Source organism: Homo sapiens, chromosome 3, assembly GCF_000001405.40.
Source record: "Homo sapiens chromosome 3, GRCh38.p14 Primary Assembly".
Lineage (NCBI taxonomy): Eukaryota > Metazoa > Chordata > Mammalia > Primates > Hominidae > Homo > Homo sapiens.
This window is the reverse complement of record NC_000003.12, coordinates 72,151,257-72,174,559: the sequence shown is the minus strand read 5'-3', so window position 1 is coordinate 72,174,559 and position 23,303 is coordinate 72,151,257. Positions and strand designations below refer to the sequence as shown.

Sequence of the window (23,303 nt, the reverse complement as noted above, 5' to 3'; positions counted from 1 at the left end):
TGGGACAAGCCATTTACAAAGACTATGTGAACAAAGTCAACCTTGATCTGGGTTGGCAGCTGGGTGGTGGTGGGGGAGAGAGTGTTATGTACTCAAAAGCCAGGGCTTCTATGAGGACATTTCCGGAAAAGTTACAGCCTTCCCTTGTCGGCTCTTGGAATAACTAGATTTCCTTCCTCATCTTAGAAAAATGCTTCTAGAGTCAACTGATAGCAATTGAAACAGTAGAAGTATCCAGTTTTTATTAAAATCCTGCTTTCATTACAGCTGCAAGGGATGGATCTAGAACTGATTTATGGAGCTTAGGGATTCTGTGAAGTCATACTTGGCCTTCACAGCAGGAGAGAGAGAAAGACAGAGAGAGGGGGAAGCAGTCAGAGGATGTAACCTCTCTACTCACTTGGGATGAAAAAGCTCCTTCTCTCTCCAACATACACAGGCACAGACGTCCTCCCAGGGGAGGTATTGTGGCCTGACTCTCACTTTGGGAAGATTCTTCTCCTGCTGCCATTTAGGACCAGAGCATGCTTTATCTCCAAAGGCTGGGCCCCTGTTTTATGCCTCCAGGGCAACACTCCTGGACTCACCTTGTTAACCTGAGTATCACACCATTCTCTGTCTTGATGGTAGAACTAGAGAGTCCTGAGGCACAGATGCTCAATTGCTCAGGTAAATCAAAAGGTCTCATATACTCAGCTTGGCAGAGGCTCAGAGCATGAACCAATTACTCCTCCCTTTATTCATGCAACACATATTTATCCATTATCTACTATGTGTCACTCATTGGAGCTACAGAGGTGAAGGCACAGCCTGACCAGTGAGAACAATGCTTCTCAACACTTTTGATGCCACAGCACATACTGAAAAGGCTCATTTTATAGGACATAACTCTGAGATGCATGGTAGCATTTCAGAGTTTCTGTCTCTTTTCTCTACTTTACCTTCTTCTGTTACCCTTGCTTTGTATGGACCACATCCCCAAAGGAGGGGGTGGCAGCTATTAATATGCCAAAATCCATATGGGTGGTGAACATGTTAACACTGAAAAATTCAAAATAATCGGAATGTCCATCTTAACGGAAGCAGATCCTGAGACAAAGATTCAAGTGCAGTTGTTACTGGGTTGGGGTTGTAGACAGCCCCAGGAGGGAAAGGAAAAGTGATATGGAGAAGGACAGGCAGCCAATCAAGGCAGGTAATTAAGCCAAGCACTACTGTGGGCAACTGGAGCTTGTACCCATGGAGAGAGCTCTGGGATATAGTGTACAGCACACACCTGAGTTGTCCCACCCAATGGGCAAGGGAGCTGGGGTATTTACACACCAGTCCCCCCTTAGTCATTGGTCAAGAGCTATTCCTGGCAGATGTTAATTCTATGGCAGTTTCCCCTGCTGAAATGATAGGCAGCATGGCATTCTGCAGATCTGAAACGAGACTTTCCACTCAGAAATGCAGAGCTGGCAGTGGAGTTTGGCTGGAGCACATAGAAATGTTAGAGATATGGGCAGGGCATGGACAGATCCTGCTAGATGCATCAGTGGGGGGTTAGTAAAATATTTGATAACACATCCTTCAAGCCCAGGATAATGTGGAACTATATTCATTGACACAGAAAAGTGCTCAGCTACACATTATTGAGTGAATGAAAGCAGCATAGAGAATATCCAATAGAGTTGGACCATTTGGATTGCCTATTTTTCTCTGTGCGTAAATGTGTCCGACACACTGGAAGGCAAGGCCAGGACCAGGGTGAAACAAGCAAGGCTCTTGCTTTGGGATAAAGTCTAAGGAAATGTCAAAAAGCTCAGTAATCAAGATAAATATTTCAACACAATATTTAAAAAATATCAACATTAATGCAAAAATTCCATGATGAACAAGGTCAGGATCTGACCTCGTATTTGCACAGCTCAGCCTCACTCACTTCATCCTAATCCCAGCCCTGTTGGATTCTGTCTCCTTAAAATTTTGACCATCTGAGGCAGAGAAAGAGAGAGAGGAGTTGGAGAGAAACTCTGGTTTCTTTCCTCTTCCGGCCCTCCAACCTCTTGCTAGTGCCTCCCTTGGTCAATTCCAACCACAGCTAACATTAGAGCCTTAAAATATCCACCTACAAGGTACAGCCTCCCCTCTCCTCCTTCTCCCTATTCTGTCTCCTCTCTCACCCCACAAGCCCAGCACAGAGCAGAGCAGCTAAAGGGCAAGGACTGGCACGGTTCCCTCAGGAACCTACAATAATTTGCAGGCAAAAAGAATCGCTTCCTGAGCAGGCCAACAAAAGCCTTAACAACTGAGACGTTGTCTTCTAGGCGCAGATCAGCAGTGGCCAGTTAACTGCACTTGTTATTTCACAGTCCTCTGGGGTGACAACCGTGGGTCAGGCTGACCTGGCCAGAGAGCACAGAGCCAAACGCCAAGTAATCAAAGCCAGTTTGTTGAAACCAAGCCATCTTGACTCCCGTCTCCCAGACAATCAGGCCACGGCCAAGAGCTTTCCTACCCCTGCCTCCTCTGGGAGTCTGCGTTCTGTGGGCTTGCGCAGCCATCCCCTTCCCAAGCTGGCTGATTCTCAATTAATCAGGGATCAGGACCTGGTTTATGCTTCCTCCGTCTGGTAGCTTCCACTTTCCTCCCTCTGGTAGCTCTTACACCTGTGGAAAGATGGAGAAAAGTGAGTTCTGTCTGGTCTTTGCAGGGCAGCAATCAGAGAGACCGAAGTAGCTTGGTTAGGAGCAGTGGAAACTGAAAGGCCTGGCCTTCGAAGATTCCACTGATTCCAAGCAGCATTTTTTTTTTTTTTTTTTTTGAGATGTTGGCTCACACCAGCGCGAACAAAATCATGTTTCTGTCTCGACTGAGTCATTTGGCCAAAGCATTAATTTCACAGCCAGCATTCACACTGACACACACGACCTTTAGTTTTCTTCCATGAAGAATTAACACACAATGACTTGTTTTCAGGTCCCAGGCCACTGGCAATGCTGGGCTTTCTTTGTCTTGTTTGTCACAGTGGCTTTCATTCCCTTCCACCTGATGTGCCTATGATGAACACATGAGGCTGTTGCAGAGACAGAAAGGTCAAGAAAGGAGGGGGTATTTTGCAGTGTTCCACAATGAGCATCAGCACCTTGTTAAAAACAGAACCAATCAGAGAAATGCGCCATTCCCTGGATCTGGTAGTCCAGTGGGATAGAGGAAGAGGGAGGCTTTGATCTATACATCTTAATCACACTCCGGGCCTGGCACACCGGTGACCATGGGATTCCTGGCTGCACCATCTACCTGTCTGGACATCTTTGGACAAATGACTTAATCTCTCTGAGACTCAGTTTTTTCAACCACAAAATGAAACATAGTAGGACCTGCCACATAGCATTGTTTTGGCAACTGAATAAGATCATGCCCTTGGTCACAGTATCTGACAAAAAGTAAGAGCCTCATAAATGCTGTCTTTTATTATTATTCATGGAAAAGGCCAGTCCAGAAACTTCATTTTAAAGGTCTGCTCCATTTTCTCTGGGCTTCTTCAGCAAACCCATAATTCTGGGTCTTGTAAAACACTTGCAGTAAATGTTTATAAGGTTGACATATGCATTGCATGTCAAAACCCAAGAAGGATGGAAGGCCAGCTGAAGATGAACAATCCTTCATCTGAAATCCTAGCCCACACCTGTAATCCCAGCACTTTGAGAGGCCGAGGCAGGCGGATCACTTGAGGTCAGGAGTTTGAGACCAGCCTGGCCAACATGGTGAAACCCCGTCTCTACTAAAAATACAAAAATTAGCTGGGCATGGTGATGCATGCCCGTAGTTCCAGCTACTCAGGATGCTGAGGCATGCGAATTGCTTGAACCCGGGAGGTGGAGGTTGCAGTGAGCCGAAGATCATGCCACTGCACTCCAGCCTGGGCAACAGAGTAAGACTCTGTCTCAGAAGAAATCCCAGCCCCCTTTGTCACTCTTAGCTTGGCTCATTCTTTCTCTGAACTGACCCTGACCCACCCCCTTTATGACCTTTCCACAGAGGAAAGCACATGGTAGGTGTTGAATAATTGGCATCTATTGTCTTTGGATGCAGACTCTGAAACCAAGCTGTGAGGGCCTGTACTTTATTTGGGAAGTGAACCAGGAGGTACTAGTAGGGGAGTGGGGAGGTGAGGAAGGGAAGGGAAGGCAGTCCATCAGGGTGTGTCATGAGCAGGTCACTCTTGTGGACAGTTGGACTCATCCCACTACTAGTAACTAGTCTACTAGTACTGAGAGACATTGTAGAGTGCACCCTTGCGTTGTCTTACCTAAGTTGTGAGGAAGCTGGGGATTTAGCCACCAACTCCCATCAATCTTGGGCTGCCAGCTACTCCTAGGGACAAGTATCCTGTGCAGAGTTGACGGTGGCCAGAGTGGAAGGCAGCAGTGGCAGAAAGGAAGCCAGCAGGTGTGAGCTGGTCCCCAGGAGACATGGGCAGGGCACTGGCAGCTTTGTCTACACCATTCTCAGGTTGCTCAAGTTTAGCTAATCAATTGCATTTGATTCAGGAAATGTATTGCTTCATTGGTGCCACCTCTGATGGGATTGTGTCACTGTAGTGCCCCAGGACCGTGGGTCTTGGTCTTAGAGGCAATGTGATTTCCAGCCATCTGGGCACAGCTCCTGCTAACAAATCTGCCTCCAGTGGATTGTCTTTTCTAGAAGGCAGCCACAGAGACAGAGTCCCAGTGCTCATTCTTTCTTCGAGAGATCTGTAGAATGAGCCAACATCTGGTGCCTTGTGTTTCTACGTGATAAGCATTCAGCTGAGACCAGCAATTCATCCTCTTAAGAGGTCACCAGACCACAGCTTTTGGCCAAGGTGACCTGACAGGGCTGGGCTGACAATTAAAAAATAAAGCAGTGAGGTGAAGTCTGCTGACCTGGGGGCACCATGACAGTAGTCTCCAAGACCATATTCCAGGCCTTGCTATATGTCTCTTGGTTCTAACATAATAATAGCCAGCATTCATGGAGCTGCTTCTACACATGAGGCATTAGGACCATATGTATTATGTCAAGAGATGAATGGTGTTAGCCCTGCTTTATAGATGAAGAAAATATAGGAACAGAGAAATCAAGTATCTTGCCAAAGTCATAGAATCAATAAATGACAATACAGTTGAACCCAGGTCTCTCTGGCTACAGAACCCATAGTTTTAGCCAATATGCTATATTTTATTTATCATACAGGTTTTCCCTGTTAACCCTGAAGGGTTATGTCCAGTGGTGTGGAGTAAACTGGCTCCCTGAAGGTAGAGGAGGGATGGGAATAGCTGTGATTTGGAGCATCTGCCAATTTCTGTGGTGTAAATACTCCTACCATGGCCAATTTCAAGCTCCTTAGCATCTAACAAGTGGCCTATGAAATTCCAGAATGTGGAACAATTGGCTCCCACAAGCCAGAAGGAACCAGCTCCAGCCTTCCACTGGTGATACCACTCTCCCAGAGGTCTTCATTATCAAGGTTTCTAGAGAATATTGTTGGAACAGTGTCTTTCTTAGCCATTCCACTCCTTAAATCTTGCCCGAGTGCTCTAGGATTACAAATGAGATCCTGGTATCATTCATTCAACAAACATGAAGTGTCTATAAGGCATGAGGGGTGACGCCTCATAGGGAGACACAGTTCCAAACTGTCTTAGGTCTAGTTTCCCAGGAGCAGACCCAGAGGCAAAGATATGCCTGCTGTATGAGGAAGTGTTGCAGGGAAAAACACAGGGTGGTGGGGAAGTCAGATGGGAAGGGGAAGGGAGCAAGCAGGGGTATAGTGGCAAGCCAAGTCCCATGAAGCAACGGTCCCCAACCTTTTTCGCACCAAGGACCAGTTTCATGGAAGGCAATTTTTCCGTGGACCAGGAGGGTGAGGAGATGGTTTTGGGACAATTCAAGCACATTACATTTATTGTGCACTTTATTTCTATTATTATTACATTGCAATATATAAAGAAATAATTATACAACTCACCATAATATAGAATCAGCGGGAGTCCTGAGCTTGTTTTCTTGCAATTAGACAGTCCCATCTTGGGGTGATGAGAGATAGTGACAGATCATCCAGCATTAGATTGTCATAAGGAGCGGGCAACCTAGATTCCTTGCATGTGCAGTTCACAATAGGGTTTGCGCTCCTGTGAGGATCTAATGCTGCTGCTGATCTGACAGGAGGTGGAGCTCAGGTGGTAATGCAAGTGTTGGGGAGTGGCCGTAAATACAGGTGAAAATTAACTCTCTCACCAGCCTCACCTCCGGCTGTGCGGCCTGGTTCCTAACAAGCCATGGACAGGTACTGGTCCATGGCCTGGGGGTTGGAGACCCCTGCCAGGAAGGGTACTTTAGATTCAATCTTGCAGGGAACCTTCGGAAACGGGGTGCATCTTGGGTGTCCTGATGAGGGGTGATATGACGAAGTATTTCTACTTGCAATTCTCACCACCTGTCACTGGTTAAGGGCTGTCCCCAGAGGGGCATACATTTTCAGGCATCGCCAGCACTTGACTGGTGCAGCAAGGCTCTAGCTGCCTGAGAGCAGCCCCTAATGAAGAAGTGCAGGGACAGACTGGTAGGAAACAGAGTCCCTCAGGAGCTGGTGTGCACAGAAACAGTGAAGGGGTTAGGTGCAGAGCTCTGAGAGTATCTACTTCACAGTCATTCACTCAACCAGCATTTACGAGAGCTACAGTGTACTGGGCACTGTCCTAGGTTCAGAGGACACAAGGATGAATGCAAACAGCCAGGTTCCCTGTTCTCAAGGAGCAACTAGACCTGACGTGATCTAGTCGGGGAGCAGGGATCTGAGCAATCCAGTTGACAAACAGATCATTACCAATTGGGATACATGGCTACAGGAAAACTATGGGGTTATGAAACAGCAGATAAGAAGACAGAAGGTGGATTGAAGTGGGTTAGAGAAGGCATTCTTCACAGTTTGGCAGGGAAACCCTTGGTATTCACCGAGAGTCTCAAAAGAGTGTGCAGGTGAACAGCTAATCTTCTCTGGTCTTTCAGTTTTTTGGGGGGTGCTAGAAGGCCTGTGCAAAAACACAACAGGTACACCAAGACCACAGATTACTTATGGTGAGAAAGATTCATGGCTACATAAATCACCTACCCAAATTTATGTTGCAATTTTTCCTAAGCAAAGCCCTATATACCACTTTAGTCCTTAAAACCTACTCAAGGTATATTTATTCACAGACATCTTGGGACTTCCATACTTTTGGTTACTACGAAACATGCGGGCTCTAGAGTCAGAGTGTCTGAGTTCAAAACTGGCTGGATCACCTAAGTAGCTGTGTATCCTTGGGCAAGCAGTTTAACCTCTCTGTGCCTTCATCTGCAGATTGGGGTACATGTACCTACCTCACACAGGTTCTTTTGTAAAGAGTAAATGGAAATGAGTTGATGCTTGCAAACTGCTTAGCACAATTTCTGGGCATACTCTAAGTACTAAAAAGGTAGCATTATTTATATTATTAGATATTATATTTGAACAGATATCCTTGATACCGTTTTAAGTGAAAAAGTGAGATTTTTCCAAGAAATAGTTTGAATGGATGTTCTCACACTTTGGCCTCAGAACCCTATACCTTTAAAACTACATGAGCCCAAAGAATGTTTTTAAAAATATGTATTTAAAATATTTATTAACTCATTAGAATAACAATAATAAACCCCTTATATGTTAACATGTGTATCATATTTTTATGAAAAATAACTATATTTTCTTAAAAGTTAGTAAAATAAAGTTGTATTGTTTTTACATTTTTGCCAATCTAATCTTTTCTTTTTTCTTCTTTTTGAGGCAAGGTCTTGCTCTGTCACCCAGGCTGGAGTACACTGGCACGATCACGGCTTACTGCAGCCTCGATCTCCTGGGCTCAAGCGATCATCCTCCTGCCTCAGCCTCCCAAGTATTTGGGACTACAGGTGCACACCACACAATTTTTTTTTTTTTTTTTTTTTTTTTTTAGCAGAGACAAGGACTCACTATGTTGCCCAGGCTGTTCTTGAACTCCTGGGCTCAAGTAATCCTCCCACCTCAGCCTCCCAAGGTGGTGTTGGGATTACAGGCTTGAGTCACCATGCCTGGCCTCAGCTTCTGTCTTAATTGAAGACAGCCAGATTCCCATATATGTTCTTCATTCAATCTATTGGGATGCGTTGTTTTGGTTAAAATGTATTTAAAAATTCAGCTTCACACAGTTGGAAACGAAAGGACGATTTTAATACCCTCTTCAGATAACTGTGGCTATTCCTTTGTGATACTATACCAAAACTCAACAAGTGGTAGTTTTTGTACTGGTTAGATGCAACATGAAATCTGAAAACCTATCAGTGAGCTTTTATATTTTATCATATTAAAATCAATCTGTCTATGTTGTGTTTTAAATGGACCTTTTACCCATGTGTGATTCTATAACATTATATCAACTATTTGGAAAATATTGGTTCACAGAGTTCTGCAGATCTACCAAATGTTGACACATTTTGTTACATAATATCAAAAGGTCGCATGTGTTCATATCCACACTGATCTTATCAGAAGAGTCTTCAAACATGGGGAAGCTGTCAAGCACATAGTGGAGGATATAAGTTTTCCAGAAATTCTGTTTTTTGATGGCAAGCTAAAATTTTTTCATTGGCAGCAATGAGAAGGCATGAGATTGCTACCTAGCCTTAGTCTCACATAAACTCAAAGCTTCCCTCCCCAACTTCTCTCTTCTTCAGTCTTTGCCATGCACCAGAGGTCCTGTCTTTCAGCAATGCTCTTCTGCAAGTGAGGTAATATTGTATTAGCTTTTGTGTGTCACTGATTTTTTTTTCTTTTACCTTTTTCTGTATAGTCTGGATAAGCCTATTGTTTCTGCATCTAACCCTGCTAGCTTCAAATTACTTTCTCCTCCTCCCTGTGGAATGGTGGATTGGTTCCCATGAGCAGTCAAAGACAAGACAGGGAACAGTATGAGGCCACCTACTGAATAGTTCTTGAATCAGTCACCTTCCCCCACTCCTAGCCACCACAACTTAGCCAGAAGCCACCATTTTCTTTGGCTGGGATTTTGGCAACAGGCTCATAACAGGTCTGCAGGCCTTGAGTCTGGAGGCCTCGCCTAGTCCATTCCCTTCTGGCAAGCCAGAGAGCAAATCTGCAGCAGTCCTGCCCCGATACCTACTGCAACCTGGGAGAAGAGCACAAAGGAGGGTGCAAGGCCCATCTCCAGCCCCACGCATGTGGACCCCACAGACTGCAAGTCCAAGAGTTGCCCACCCCTCCTGTACACACACGGTTGCCTCTCAGATTGGCCTGCTGGACAAAAGCTGTAGCAGCCTCCCTGGAGAAGGAAGAGGGACAAGAGAAAGAGGTGTGCACAGACCCTAAAGGTAGGCTCAGGATGTTTGGAGCAGGAGTTCCAAGTATGTAAAGCATGATGCATAAAGAAGTGGATGTAGGTTCCAGGTGGCGAATCCTTAGGTATCACCACTCCTCAACCAGGTTGTCGGGGAGGCAGTGGGCTCCAGGGTAGAGCCCTATAAATCACACCCTAAGCAAGAACCTCAGGTGCCCGTGTCTAAAGGTGTAACAGTGTGCAAATGTAACCTACATGACCCTTCATCATTCACAGGATCAAGTGCCCACGCCTTGGTCTACCAGGCCTCTCCCAGTCTGGCTCCTGCCTACCTGTCTTTCTTGCCCTTGACTGTGTCTGGCTCTCGTCCCTAGGTGCCCCATGCTGTCTCACTGCAGGGACTTTACAGCACGTGACCTCCTCTGGGCCTTGCCCTGGATGACATCTCATCTTTGCTGTGCTCTGCTCAGAGATCATTCTTCCCTGGCACCCCAGTCCGCCAGCTCTAGACTTAAGTCTGGGTTGGCTTCTAGTCTTTGGCCTTCACAGCTTTCATATCCTCTCTGTCCTCCACCACAACAAAGCATGACAGCTATCATTAGGCAGTGCTCACTATTTACAGCTAAGGGCACTGAGTGCTTCCAGTAACTCTATGACATGCATGCTGTGTTTATGCCCATTTTACAGGTGAGGGAACTGAGATGAAGCATCGTAACTAATTTGGCCACAGGGCCAGCTAATAAGAGAGTCAGGCTCCAAGTTTAGACACCAAGCTTTTAACCACTGTGCCAGTGATTTTCGGTCCTTAAACTTTTGAGTACAACAGAATCACTGGTGTGCACACGATTGATGTGCAGCAGAGGGGAGAGAGTAAGTTTATTAAAGTACAGACTCCTGGGCCCCACCAATCCAGAGATTCTGATTCTATAGGTCAAAGGTGGGGCCCAGAAAGCTGCATTTTTATAAGCTCCCCAGGGGATTCAGATGCAGGTATTAGGGGGAACCACACTTGGAGAATCACACACTTTCCTGCCTAACCGCAAGTCCTAAACTGCAACCCGCTAAATATAATTAGGTCTTCTGGGCTCAGCAGGGCCCCTGAGAAGGAGGAAGAAGATACTGCGTGCATCTAGCAAGTTCTCCACACCACCTGTGGTGGTGGTTGGAGTGGGGAGGGCCTTTCCCTGGGGGGAAGATACACACCCTGGTTGCATCATATAGACACAACACCAGAGCCATAATCTGGGGTGTCCAGAAGCCAGCACACCCTCCACATTCTGTGTTCAGCTCCGGCTTGGCCACAATTACCTGGAACCTGGTCTGTCTGCCCCTGCCCCACCCCTCTGGCTGCTGCTAGTTAACTGGAAGCTGTGGCCACAGGGCGTATGGGCTGAGAACATAATTAGGGAGCCCATTCCCAGCCGAACAGCCGGAGGACTTTTGTACCTTGTCCATCTCTTCTCTGAGACTTGTCAAGACACTCAGTGGTTGGTCAGCAGCCCTGACTTGGGTACCATAAAGCAGGGAGGATGGGGGGCAGCAAAGAGGACTGTGTGGTGACCTCACTGGGTGGTCTCCTTCAAGCCTTTCCAGCTCTGCCAGCAAGAACAAAGTGACAAGGCCTCTTCTTAGAAGGAGGAAAGAGATGTGTCCTCAACTCAGGGGACAGCCAGGGCGATCTGAGACACTGGGCCTTTCTTTCACCTCATTGTTTCCTCTGTCATAATTTTCAATTTTCCCCTGCCTTTCTTTCTTTCTTCTTTTTTTTTTTTTTTTTTTTTTTAGATGGAGTCTCGCTCTGTTGCCCAGGCTGGAGTGCAGTAGCGTGATCTTGGCTCACTGCAACCTCTGCCTCCCGGGTTCAAACTATTCTCCTGAGTCAGTCTCCCCACTAGCTGGGATTACAGGCATGTACCACCACACCCAGCTAATTTTTGTATTTTTAGTAGAGATGGGGGTTTCACCACGCTGGCCAGGCTGGTCTCGAACTCCTGACCTCAAGTGATCTGCCCATCTCGCCTCCCAAAGTGCTGGGATTACAGGTGTGAGCTACCGCGCCTGGCCTCCCCTGGATTTCTATTCCTTTCTTAATCATCTTCTCTGTCCCTGTCCACTTTACCTTTTGAGAGAGATTATTCCCAGAGTCCCCAGTGAGTCATCTGTAGCCAGGTTGTGACCCCCTGACCAAGCAGGGCCAATGGGATTTCCCTCCCAGTGACCTGGCCTTAGGGCTCAGACTTACAAATCAAGTCGCTTCGTGGACTAAACCTTTAAGGTGCATAGACTTGGGCTGGAGCTGCCTGTGCTGGGGTGGTTGGGGTGGCCGTGCTGGGGAGGCATTTGGGAGTCACATGTTCTGGTGTGCAAACAGAGAGCTGGGGGCTGGTCTACAGCAAAAAGCAGGCAAATGAAGCAGAGAAGGAGAAAAGTGCTCCTTAAGAACCCAAAGAGAGAGGAGGAAGAGCCCATTTGCTTCCTGCCAGCTTTCCAATTCCCAGCACCAGTCTGTTGTGAGGAATTTCTAGTCTTAAACTAGAGGATACCCAGATGAATTCTTGTCCTTGTGACCTGCAAGATAACCTAACTCCTCAGGATTGCTTTCCCTGTGTTTAAGTTAGCGCAAGTGAGTTTGTTTTGGTCAAGCAAATCATCCCTTATGAAGACAGCCCTGCCAGGAGAGGTGAGTCCTGGGCTGACACACCCGGTGAGTTACAAACACTGGCTGAGCTTGGGGCTGTGCCAGGCATAGGATTTGATGAGCAACGAAAGAGACGCTGTCTCCACTGTCCGGGAACAGTGAGGGTGAGAGGAGTCAGCGGTGCAGAGAAGCAGGGTGGGGCTTCATCCTCAGGGAACGGCATTGATAGAAGCTCGAGCAACGATCGTTCCTATTATGTATGTTAAGCAAAGGGGCTGGGGGCAAGGTCAGAATGCCAGGATTCAAACTGGAGATCTGCCAGGGGCTAACCATGTGGCCCTGCGCACATTTCTTAAACTCTAGAGACTTCAATTTTCTCAGCTATGACATACAGATGGTGACCCTTGGAGTGCACTTATACTTAGAACAATGCCTCGCACTTAGGAAGTACTCAGTATTTGTCAGCTATTATTTTTTTCTCTGGGCGTTGGGGAGGGTGCTGGCTAGAGACAAGTGTCTTGAATTATATTAGCAGGGCCATATCATTGAAGGTTTTATAGATCCAGCAAAGGAGTTTTGCTTTTATCCAGAAAAACTATGGGAAACTTGAAGAATTGTAAGCCAGCAAGGGGCCTGGTCAGATGAATGCAGGGGTTTTCAACCAGCCTCCAATCTGAAGACATTGCTAGTTGTTACAACCTGGCCAGGGGCCAGGGAGGTGCAACTGGCCTCTGGTGGGTAGAGGTCAGGGTTGCCACTAGCCATCTTACAGGGTGTAGGACAGTCTTCTAAAACAAAGAATTATTTGGCCCAAAATGTCAATAGTGCCAAGGTGGAGAAAGCCTGGATTAATGTATTATAAAGAAGAGAAATTCTCAAAGAACTTAACACAGAGCTACCATTCAACCCAGCAATCCCATTACTGGGTATATATCCAAAAGAAATTATTCTACCAAAAAGATACATGCACTTGAATGTTCATTGCAGCACTATTCACAATAGCAAAGACATGGAATCAAGTTAAATGCCCATCAATGGTGGACTGGATAAAGAAAATGTGGTACGTATACATTGTGGAATACTACACAGCCATAAAAAATGAACAAAATTATGTCCTTTGCAGCAACATGGATGCAGCTGAAGGCCATTATCCTAAGCAAATTAATGCAGGAACAGAAAACCAAATACCGCATGTTCTCACTTATAAGTAGAAGCTAAACATCGGGCACTCATGGACATAAAGATGGCAGCAATAGACACTGGAGAGTACTAGAGCAGAGAGGGAGGAGGACAAGGTTTGAAAAACTAACTGTGGGTACTATGCTCAGTATGGGGGTGATGGGATGAATTGTACCCCAAACCTCAGCATCATGCAATATACCCAGGTAACAAACCTGCACGTGTACCCCCTCCATCTAAAGTTGAAATTATTAAAAAAAAAAAAAAGAGAGAGAGAGAAGAGTAATTAATTAGAAATGAACCTTTCCCACCCCAGGGGGCTCAGTTTCCCCGTCTATCAAAAGACGCACATAGGAGGATTTAGAAGGCTGAGTGCTGTGTGGCTTCCATGCCTGACCTTCCACGATCTGCTTATTCTCCTGTTGCGATGGACCCCCTGTCCTGGACCCTTCTGACACCAGCTATGTGGTCCTGACCCTGGGCCTCCTGAGCCTCTCATTACAGATAATCCTGATGGGGCCAGAGAGTATATGAAGTAGATAGGGCTCAGGATCTACTAATCCAACCGTGGGATTAGATCCTGGCACCATCCCTTGTCAGTTATGAGACCCAGAACAATTTTCTTTGCCTCTCTGCATGTCAGTTTCTCCATCTATAGAGTAGGACTGATAACACCTCCCCAAAAGCACAGGTTCGAGGGTTTGCAAAGCTCTCATTCCAGCCCCTGGTTCATCACAGATGCTCCAACAACATCTCCAAAAATGTGAGATTGCTAAACACAAGGGGAAGGCGTGAGAAATGCAGCCAAGTCGACGTCCATTATCCACGGAGAAGTCATTGCAGACAAGCTCTCTCCAGAAGCCTGTGACAACACCCATCAGTCAGAAGGAGCTCAGGGAATGTGTGCTCCTTTGAATATGTGCTTGAACTAATCAGGGAAGGAGAGCAGGAAAACAAAAGGAACCTTCAGAGTAAGGCAGGACTTGCAAACTCAGTGCCACAAAGACCAGGGAGGCGGCCGACTGCAGGGTTAGTTATGAAATTTAATTAGTAATTACTTGAGTGAATGGCACCAGAGACATGGAGATCAGAAGTGCTTCCCTCAGAGGGGCAGGATGGCAGACCCGAGAGGCCGGGTGCTAGGTTCAAATTCCAGCTTGGTCACCCACCAGCTGTGCAAATTTAGGAAAAGTGCTTTGCCTCTCTGTGCCTCAGTTTCTCTATCTGTAGAAATAGAGATATGCAGATAAAAATAATACCTACCTCAAAGGGTTGCTTTGAAAATACACTATCTATAATATATATAAGCACAAACATCAGTGTCTGGCACAGGTCAGAACTAGGGATGTCATTGCGTATGGCTTCTGTTTCCTTCTTATGACAACAGCACACAATCTGAATTAGCCTCAGTGTCAAGCAGTGTGGTCTGCAGACAACAGCCATCAGCATCACTTGGGAGCTTGTTAGAAATGCAAATATGCAGGCTTCACCTCAGACCTACCCAATCAGAAACTCTGCATTAATTGGCTAGGTAACCTCAGTTAGAAAAATTAACCTCTCTAAGCTGTGGATTTCTTATCTGTAAAATGCAGATTTCTAATATCAGCCACCCTCTCTTCTGTGCTAGGGGCTCTAGGATGGCTCCAGCCTGCTGTCAATTGCTGGGCTGTTTTCTGCCTCAGGGCCTTTGCACTTACGGTTCCATCTGCCTGGAATGCCCTTGGCTCTCCCCACAGCTGAGCTGCTATCTTTTAGGCTTCAGCTTAAATGGCACCTTCTCAGAGAGGCCTTCTTCACCAACCCTGCCCCATCTCCCGTTAATCCTTGTCACTACATTCACTTATTTCCTTCAGCTGCTAATGACAATCTACAACTCCCTTATTTTTGAGTCTACTTACTTGCTTCTTGTCTGTCTTCAGCTCATGTCATATAAACTCCAAGAGGGCAGGAACTGGGTCTCTCTGTGCACAATGCCTGGCACAGCGTGTGCGTTCCATAAACGAGTCTAGAAGGAATGGATAAGTCTATCATAGAAGAACAGAGAGTGCTCATCACAGCACCAGGCACAGGGTGAAGGCCCCATAAGAACTACAGGACTGTGAAGTTATTATCATAAAATAGGCCACCATGTAGCCCTGGGCTTCACAAACAGCTACGGGGAGCAGCGCTGAGGCTAGCGGTGGCCTTTCTATCCCTGGCACTCGCGCTTAGTCTGCACTGTGTGACCCTCTCACCCAATCACGTAACAGCGCTGCTCTGAAGAAGCTGCCTCATTAAAATATGGAAATAGTTGTCACGTTGCTATCACCCAGCCCAAGCCATCAAGCGCTCCAAATTGGTTTTTGCCATTTCATACGGCACAACATACATTTGTTAACTTTTCAAACAGTAAACACCACCTGCAAAGTGCCTTTAATATTTAATGTAACTATAAATTGTTTTGAAAATAAATCCAGCCATGTGGAAAAGCAGCAGAAGGAATGGGAAGTGAATCCAGGAACCTGCTCTGCATGGGGGCAGAGCGGGCTACGGGGCTGAGTCTCCAATTACGGGTCAGGCACTTGGCTGCCCCACTTCAGTGCTTTATGGAGCCGATGGGTAATGAATGCTTCCCCTCAATGCTCTGAGGACTCTGACCTCATGGTAGTGCCTATTTGGTTCTCCAGAGGAGGTAGGGTAAATCTACAGAGGGGGTGCGGGGGTGCACCTCTACCAAAAGCATCTTGGTGGGGAGTGCTGGTTAATGCCAACATTACCCATGGCTTTGGTGGGGAAAAGCGTGTCAGCCATGAGCTCTTCTGGCCAAACCAACTGGTGACACTGCCCAGTGTCATGGGGTGTGTGCTTGGGGCTAGTGACTGGTCTGTGAATAATTTGTCACTGTTCATCACATGCTGTATTTGCTCCTTCCTGTCTCTCTCTCTCCATCTCATCTCATGCACTATATAGAACTTCAGAAAAGTACCTGTTTTTGTCTTACTTCCCTCATAGGTCAAATTGGAATGCTAATGATACCTACCTCATTGCATTACTGTAGGTTTAAACGGGTGACTGCCTGTAAAGCGGTTAGGACAATGCCCAGCATATGGGTCCATTTTTAAATGTTTGCTGCACTGTCACCATTACTGCTTCTGCCGCTGTGAACAGACGTCATGCCACCTGCTCCCTGTGGCCCTCTTCATTCCCACTGCAGCTGTGCTGGCCTCCTCTTCATGCCTGGTGTGCTCCATGCTCCCTTTTGCCACCAGGCCTTTGCACGAGCTGTGTCCTCTGCCTGGGGCACTTTTCCTTTCTTTTTTTGCCTGGTTAATCTCTTAGCTATTGGCTCAATCAGCTATTAGGTTGGTGTAAAAGTAATTGTGGTTTTTGCCTTTGAAGGTGATAGCAAAACCACAATAACTTTTGCACCAACCTACAGAAATGTTGAACTTCAGGGGGAAAGGGCAAGCTCTCTACTCCTGGCATGTCAGTAACTGACTAAATCTCTGGAGCTGGAATGGTGGCATTCTCTGATTAGCCCACACCAGTCATCTGCCCACTTGTGGCCGGGGCCAGAGGCCCAGGATCAGCAGCCCCATCAAAAGCCACATGCCATGCAGAGAGGGGCTGATAGAAGACAGTTGCCCTTCTTGGCAGACAAAACCATCATTGTCCATTACAATGAGATGTGTGTCCTGGCAGTCACTGTGGAAACCAGGTGAGGACCAACTGCCATCAATCAGGTGACCAGTTAGGCAGCTATTACGTTGATCCAGGCTAGAAGAGTGAAGCCTGATGATATGCGAGACATTTAGAAGATACAACCGAGAGAGAGAAAGAAGATAATTCTGAGGCTTCTAACTTGATATGCAGAAGAATGAATGACACCACTTGTGTCTTATTACTGGCCTCATATGATGCAACTGAAAAAACTGGGTGATTATGAAGGGATCTGAGATAAAGGTATCCAGCTCAGATAGGAAAACAATTTTGGGGGTGAGAAGGGAACCTAAAGTCTCTCAATTCATACCCTTTAAGTAGACACATATATATAATGCTGCCACTAATTCAACTCATTAGTAAAGGGGTGTTAATGCCACGCTAGCCACTGGTTGGCCCTTCTGGCCAAATTCAAAGCTAGTGCATATCATGTCCCCTGGCTCTCTTGATTCTTCTGAGCTTCACAAGGGCTCTGCTGTGGGTCCATCTTAGTGTCTGTCCCCTTGATTCCTGACTCTCCCGGGGATCATGTTCCCCCATGTGAGAAGGCTGGCTCCCTTGTGGAGTAACTTCTGAATAGCCACTGAGTCCTCTGAATGGCATGAGAACCCAGATGGACCCATGTACAGAGAGATGCTCTGTGCTCTGCCTGTCCCTATGCTATCAGGCATCTCCAAATAGCATGTCCAAAAGACTTCTCGGTTTTCCTTCTCAAACATGATCTTCTCATCTCAGTAAATGACACTGTCATTCACCAAGATCCTCAAGCCAAAAGCCTAAAATTTGAATTCCATCATTCCCTTTCCCCCGCACCCAAACTACCAATATATCTGGTTGGCCCAGTGTCTCCCCAACCAACATATATCCCCATCAACTGTGTTCCCTTCCAGTCCAGAGGCTGGCAAATATTTCTGATAAACAGCCAGATACTGCCATGCACTATCCACATGGCAGCTAGAGTGATCTTTAAAAAGTAAGCAGCGGTTGTCTCTCCCTGGCTTAAATTTGCCCAGTAGCTCTCCATTGCCCTTAAATGAAAATTCAGTCTTTCCATACTGTCTCCACCCCTCCATGACCCAGTCCCTGCCTCCTCTCTGACCCCACGTTCTGCCCACTCTTTGTCCACACTGCCCCACAACCCCCCAGTTTCCTTTCTACTCCCCAAACACTCCAACCTCTTTCCCTTCACTCCTCCCTGGGAACATTCTTCCCCCGCCACCTCCCCCACCAGTTCTCTCCACATCTGGGTTCTTTTTCATCAATTAACTCTTGCTGACCGGGCCCAGTGGCTCACACCTGTAATCCCAGCACTTTGAGAGGCTTAGGCAGTTGGATCACTTGAGGCCAGGAGTTCAAGATCAGCCTGGCCAATATGGCAAAACCCCGTCTCTACTAAAAATACAGAAATTAGCCGGGTGTGGTGGCAGGCACCTGTAATCCCAGCTACTCAAGAGGCTGAGGCAGGAGAATCGCTTGAACCCAGAAGGTGGAGGTCGCAGTGAGCCGAGACTGTGCCATCGCACTCCAGCCTGGGCAACAGAGCAGACTGTCTCAAAAACAAACAAAACAACAACAACAACAAAACCTCTTGCTTCCCTGAGAACCATCTGACTCTTATCTAATGTGGCCCCGTCTTTTCCCCATTGCCCCATCTGAAATTATCTTATTTGTTCAACTGTTTGTTGTTCATCCCTCTGGAACATAAGCTCTGTGAGAGCACGGACCTCATCTGTCCTCTCAGCACACACATCAGCACGCTGTAAATCCTCAAATAGTTGCTCACTGAACAAAGACAGGCTCCTGGTCTGTATTTCCGGGCAATGCCAGATGTCTGTGCACCTCGGATTTCTCCAGCTTTCCCAAGCCCTTCCTATGCTGGCTCAGAAGAGGGCTGCCAAAGAGTTCATTCCCTGTGTGTGACAAAGCCTGAAAAAACACGCTGCTTGTCTGAGTCACTGTGCTTGTCCAGGGACCTCTGAGCAAACTGATTTGTGATTGCAAGGCCAAGCCGATAGAAGGGCTGCTCTTCCAACAGCTGGACTCTACACTGGGGCCTCTTTAACAACAGATGTGATGTGGTGGAGAGGCGGTGGGGAGGCCGGGTCCCATGGAAACTCCCACGCAGAAATCCTGCCGTCTGTTCCTGGCACTCCCTAACATGTGGTAGAGCTTACCAGAGCTTAATTTCCTTGTTTCCAAAGTGCCCTCTCCTAGGCGCTCTCATAGCTCTCATTTGCTCACTCTCATCTCCCAAACCCCTGCACCCCATCTCCCTTTTTCATCAAGGCATTGAAACCAGAGACTGCTGGTTGCCACCTAAATGCTTTTTGTCCCTTCTTCCTTGGTCATAGAAGCCTGATTTTATTAAAGATGGTGATGAACCCAGCAAAGAGACAACATTCACCCACCCCTTTTTCAGGTAGTGGTGGCCAGGTGATGTCTGGCTAATGACGTATAAACAGCAGTGCCACTGGAACTTCTGGGAAGAATGATGAAAGGAGGCTGACTTCAGCCACTAAGACTTCAGCCGCTGTCTTAGTCCGCTAGGGCTGCCATAAAAGAATGCCACAGACTGGGAAGCTTACACAACAGAAATTTAGTTTCTCATGGTTCTGGAGGCTGGAAGTGTAAGATCAGGGTACCAGCATGGTCAGGTGCTGGTCAGGGCTTGCTTCTTGCTTCCTGGTTTGCTTTTCTCCATGTCTTCACACAGGGGAAGGGAACAGAGAGAGGGAGAAAGTGGGGGCATGGAGAGAAGCAGGAGAGGGAGAGGGAGAGAGAGAGAGGGAGGGGGAGAGAGGGAGAGAGAGAGAGAGAGAGGAGGAGAAAGATCCTTTTGCTCTTTTTCTGAGGCCACCAATCCTATCAGATTAGGATCCCACCATTAATGACCTCATTTAGCCTTAATTACCTCTTAAAATCCCTATCTCCAATATAGGGTCCTTGGGGGTTAGGTCTTCAATATATGAATTTAGGAGGGACACAATTTAGGCCATCACGGCTAGGCATTACATCATTTAGTTCTTCCCTTCCTTCTGTCTTCCTCCCACCTGGAATCTGGATGTGATGGCTGGAGCTTCAGCAGCTCTACTGGACCATGTGATAAACTTGATAATGAATGCCAGGTGCTGAGGGTGAGGGTGGAAGTGCAGAAAGATGGAAAGAACCTGGGTTGACTTTGTGGCACCATTATCATGGAATTGTTAGGAGCTGCTTTATGTCAGAGTTCTGGTTCTCAGCCACACTGTATATTGGAATAACCTGGGGATCTTTGAAAAATGCTCATGCCTGGATGTCACTCCCAGAGATCCAGATATAACTGGTCTTTTGGGGCGCAGCCTAGGCATCATGATTTCTTTTAAATTTATCTGGTGATTCTAAAGTGTTAAGCTCGAGAACACTGCTAAAGAAAAAATCCTGGTGTAAGGGAATTGACTGTGTTTTAAACAATGGTATTTTAGTTTTGTTATGCAGACTAACTCAACTTCAATAAGAAATCTAATTCTAGAAGATGAATCACTTCTGTCTTCTAAGATTTTCAGAACAAGCACCGCCCAAAGCCATCAGGAGACCTGGTTGCATCCTACCACTTTCAAGAGTAGATATGGGTAGATATCAATTCAAGCTGAATGGTGACAGATCTGTGCAGTATTAAGTACAATTTTCTGTCCTTTCACTCACATGAATAAAACAGTGTGTGTAACTTAAACTTCAGGATTAAAATAAGCACTCAAATTCAAAATAGTCAGATGTGGCACTTTTGTCAACAAACCTCTTTTCCGAAAGTGAAATCCATTGGTAATGATCATTAGAGGCCAATGAACTCTTTCCTGTGACCCAAATGTCCCTCCTTGTCCCCAGCCCAAGTGGGAAGAGCTCAAGGGGAGGAGCTCGGCCAGCTGGTGAGAGAGTTGACTTAAAATAAACAGGTACCAGGGTTCAACTCTCAGCTTCACCACTTACAGCTGAGTGCTCTTGGGTAAGTCATTTAACCCCTCTGTGCTTCAGCTGCTCCCTGTGCAAAATGCACTTCATGATTTTGTCCAGGACTCGGGACTGTGGCAAGGACTGAAAAGCAATGTCCGAAAAAGCACTTAGCATTGTGCCTGGCCCAGAGTCACTGCTCAGTAAATGTCAGCCATCATTCTTAGGCTATGGCCAGCCACTCTTCCCAAATGATGTGTCCTTCCCTTTCATTTCTGGAAAACAGTGCCAAAACAGGGCTGCTTTTATGAATAGGGTACTAAATGAGCAAACACATGTCTGGAAATAAAGGTAATTCATCCCTGGGGAGATAGCATCTCCCAGGTTCAGGGGTTAATGGGCTTGGAGGATTCATAACAAACGGTGCCTGAGACAAATTGGCTGATGGAACTGAGCAGCTATTGTTTCTCAGACAGCTCTTCAGCCGTGGCCCATTTATTAGCATGGCTGCCGGAGAAACAAATTAAAAGGCAAGCCCCTCAAAGATAACAGAAATTGAGTGCGAGGGGCAAAACGCCCTGAAAGTTTGAGCCGGCGACAGAGAGGCCATGCTTCTTCATCTGCTGCCAACCTCCAAACACTGAACTCTGGAGGAGGCTGGACGGGAGCCAGCCTCTGACGGCGTGTGCTCTCCTCGGTAAATATGGGAACTGCCAAGAGCCAAGCCCGTGGAAAAGCACTTACAGATTAGAAGCAAACACATGGCAAGCAGGACCCTCTGCAATCGTAAAATGCATCGTGGAGGAAGACGAAAGGAAACAAACCATTCTCTTTGGGACTGTCCATCTGGAAGCGTGGAGCCAGGAGCATTATTAGAAATAAATATATCCAGCCCAGCAACATCTGGGAGTCACTGGATGTTTTCATCCTCCTGGAACCTTCGGAAGAGCTCTGTCCACAAATACAGGCTTCTGAAGCTGCAACAGAACCCTGGTGCTGGGACACCGGTTCTGCCCTTCACCCCCTGTGGATTGGTTTAGCCCATTTTCCAGGGAAGGCTGGGGAGTGGAAAGGGCTTAATACTCCAGAAGCTTTGTGAGTGGGGGTGTGAGCCTGGGAGGGAAGACTGGAGGCCTCGCAGGCTGTGGGATGCGTGGCCAGATGGAGCATTGTCCTTTGCGGGCAAATGGCTTCTACTAGACTTTTCTAGGTGTGACCCTGGAACCATTTTTATCCTGGGGTGCTGACTAATAGAACAGATTCCTGGGTCCTACTTCAGACCTCCAGGATCAGCCTCTCTGCAGGGAAGTGCAGGAATCTTACATTTAATATCGCTTCTTAGGTGATTCCTCTGCACACTACGGGAGTGCTTCTCAAACTAGAGCATGCATGCACCAACATAACCCTGAGAGCTTACTAAACACAGATTGCTGGGCCCCACACCGACAAGCACCCCTGATTCAGTAGGTCCAAAGTGGCGCCCGAAGATCTGCATTTCTAACAAGTTTCCCTGATGCTGGTGCCGCTAGTCCAGGGACCACACTTTGAGTAGCACTGCAAGTCTGCAAACCCACTGAACTACGGGGTTTGCTCTCAGGCTGAGCAAAGTTCCATTTGTCAACAAACATGTACATAGCCCCCAGTTGAGTGCGAGAGCCCTCTATTCCTGGGCATCGTGGCGTCTGGGAGCCAAACCTTCTCTCTTAGGCCCCCAAGGGAACCTGAAGATGTTTGAGTTAATAATGACTCCAGGACGAGTTTGTGCTAGGACTTTCCTTGTAGAAGAGAAGGGCCTAAATAGCAGCTCTCAACTTTGAGCAAGATTTTAGAAACACTCCATTGCTGGGGAAAAAATGTTAAACTAACTAATGTAGTCTCTTTGGGTGTGGGAACTGGGCATCATCTGGATTTTTAAAGCTGCTCTGGGGAGTCCAATGTGCAGCCAGGCTAGAAAACCTAGCACAAATGTTAACTCTGACTACCATCAGTAGCACCCAGGGAGTGGCTAGAAAGCATTACATTGGGCCCCACTCCTCCCTCGCAATTCTGACTTCCATGATTCAGGGTGGAGCTTGGGCACTGGCATTATAACAGAAGCTCTCCAAATGTTCCACAGTGCACCTAGCGGCAGGGATCCAGGCCTGCTGGCCTAGTGGAAAGGGACTCAGGAGCACTAAATCCTGGGAAGGCTTAAGGGGCGGAATGAAACCAGAGACTGGGGCTGATTCATTTGGATCACCACAGTAAATGACAATGGTAAAGCAAGTCACAATTGTGTAAAGCAGTTTTGTGAAGTGCAATCAGAACAGATTTCTTGTTCTTACCCCATAAACAACTCAAACTCTCTTCCTTGCTGGCCTGAGCAGGAATTCGTTGGAAGGGAAGATAGAAGCTTCCTCTGCAGACTTCAGACGTGCCTCCTCTGGGATGCACACAGCAAGGGGTGCCCTTGCCAGGCATAAAGCCCTGTGCAACTGGGTTTCTAC

At 47.0% G+C, this 23,303-nt stretch overlaps 1 long non-coding RNA gene across 1 annotated transcript, besides 4 other annotated features; it reads right to left on the bottom strand.

Annotated features, from left to right (window-relative positions):
* Window positions 1-220: 220 nt before the first annotated feature.
* Window positions 221-23,303, bottom strand: LINC00870 (long intergenic non-protein coding RNA 870). Its single transcript, NR_038221.1, has 3 exons — window positions 23,142-23,303; window positions 15,093-15,199; window positions 221-2,651 (listed from the first exon to the last, which is right to left on the bottom strand). It is a non-coding gene; the product is annotated as a long intergenic non-protein coding RNA 870 (long non-coding RNA).
* Window positions 9,757-9,866: an enhancer, noted in NCBI's record as "active region_20076". NCBI's record gives its function as "activates an Ori minimal core promoter by ATAC-STARR-seq in GM12878 lymphoblastoid cells {active_cell/tissue: GM12878}" and the evidence as "EXISTENCE:reporter gene assay evidence [ECO:0000049][PMID:35858748]".
* Window positions 10,377-10,646: an enhancer, noted in NCBI's record as "active region_20075". NCBI's record gives its function as "activates an Ori minimal core promoter by ATAC-STARR-seq in GM12878 lymphoblastoid cells {active_cell/tissue: GM12878}" and the evidence as "EXISTENCE:reporter gene assay evidence [ECO:0000049][PMID:35858748]".
* Window positions 11,647-11,746: an enhancer, noted in NCBI's record as "active region_20074". NCBI's record gives its function as "activates an Ori minimal core promoter by ATAC-STARR-seq in GM12878 lymphoblastoid cells {active_cell/tissue: GM12878}" and the evidence as "EXISTENCE:reporter gene assay evidence [ECO:0000049][PMID:35858748]".
* Window positions 11,767-11,816: an enhancer, noted in NCBI's record as "active region_20073". NCBI's record gives its function as "activates an Ori minimal core promoter by ATAC-STARR-seq in GM12878 lymphoblastoid cells {active_cell/tissue: GM12878}" and the evidence as "EXISTENCE:reporter gene assay evidence [ECO:0000049][PMID:35858748]".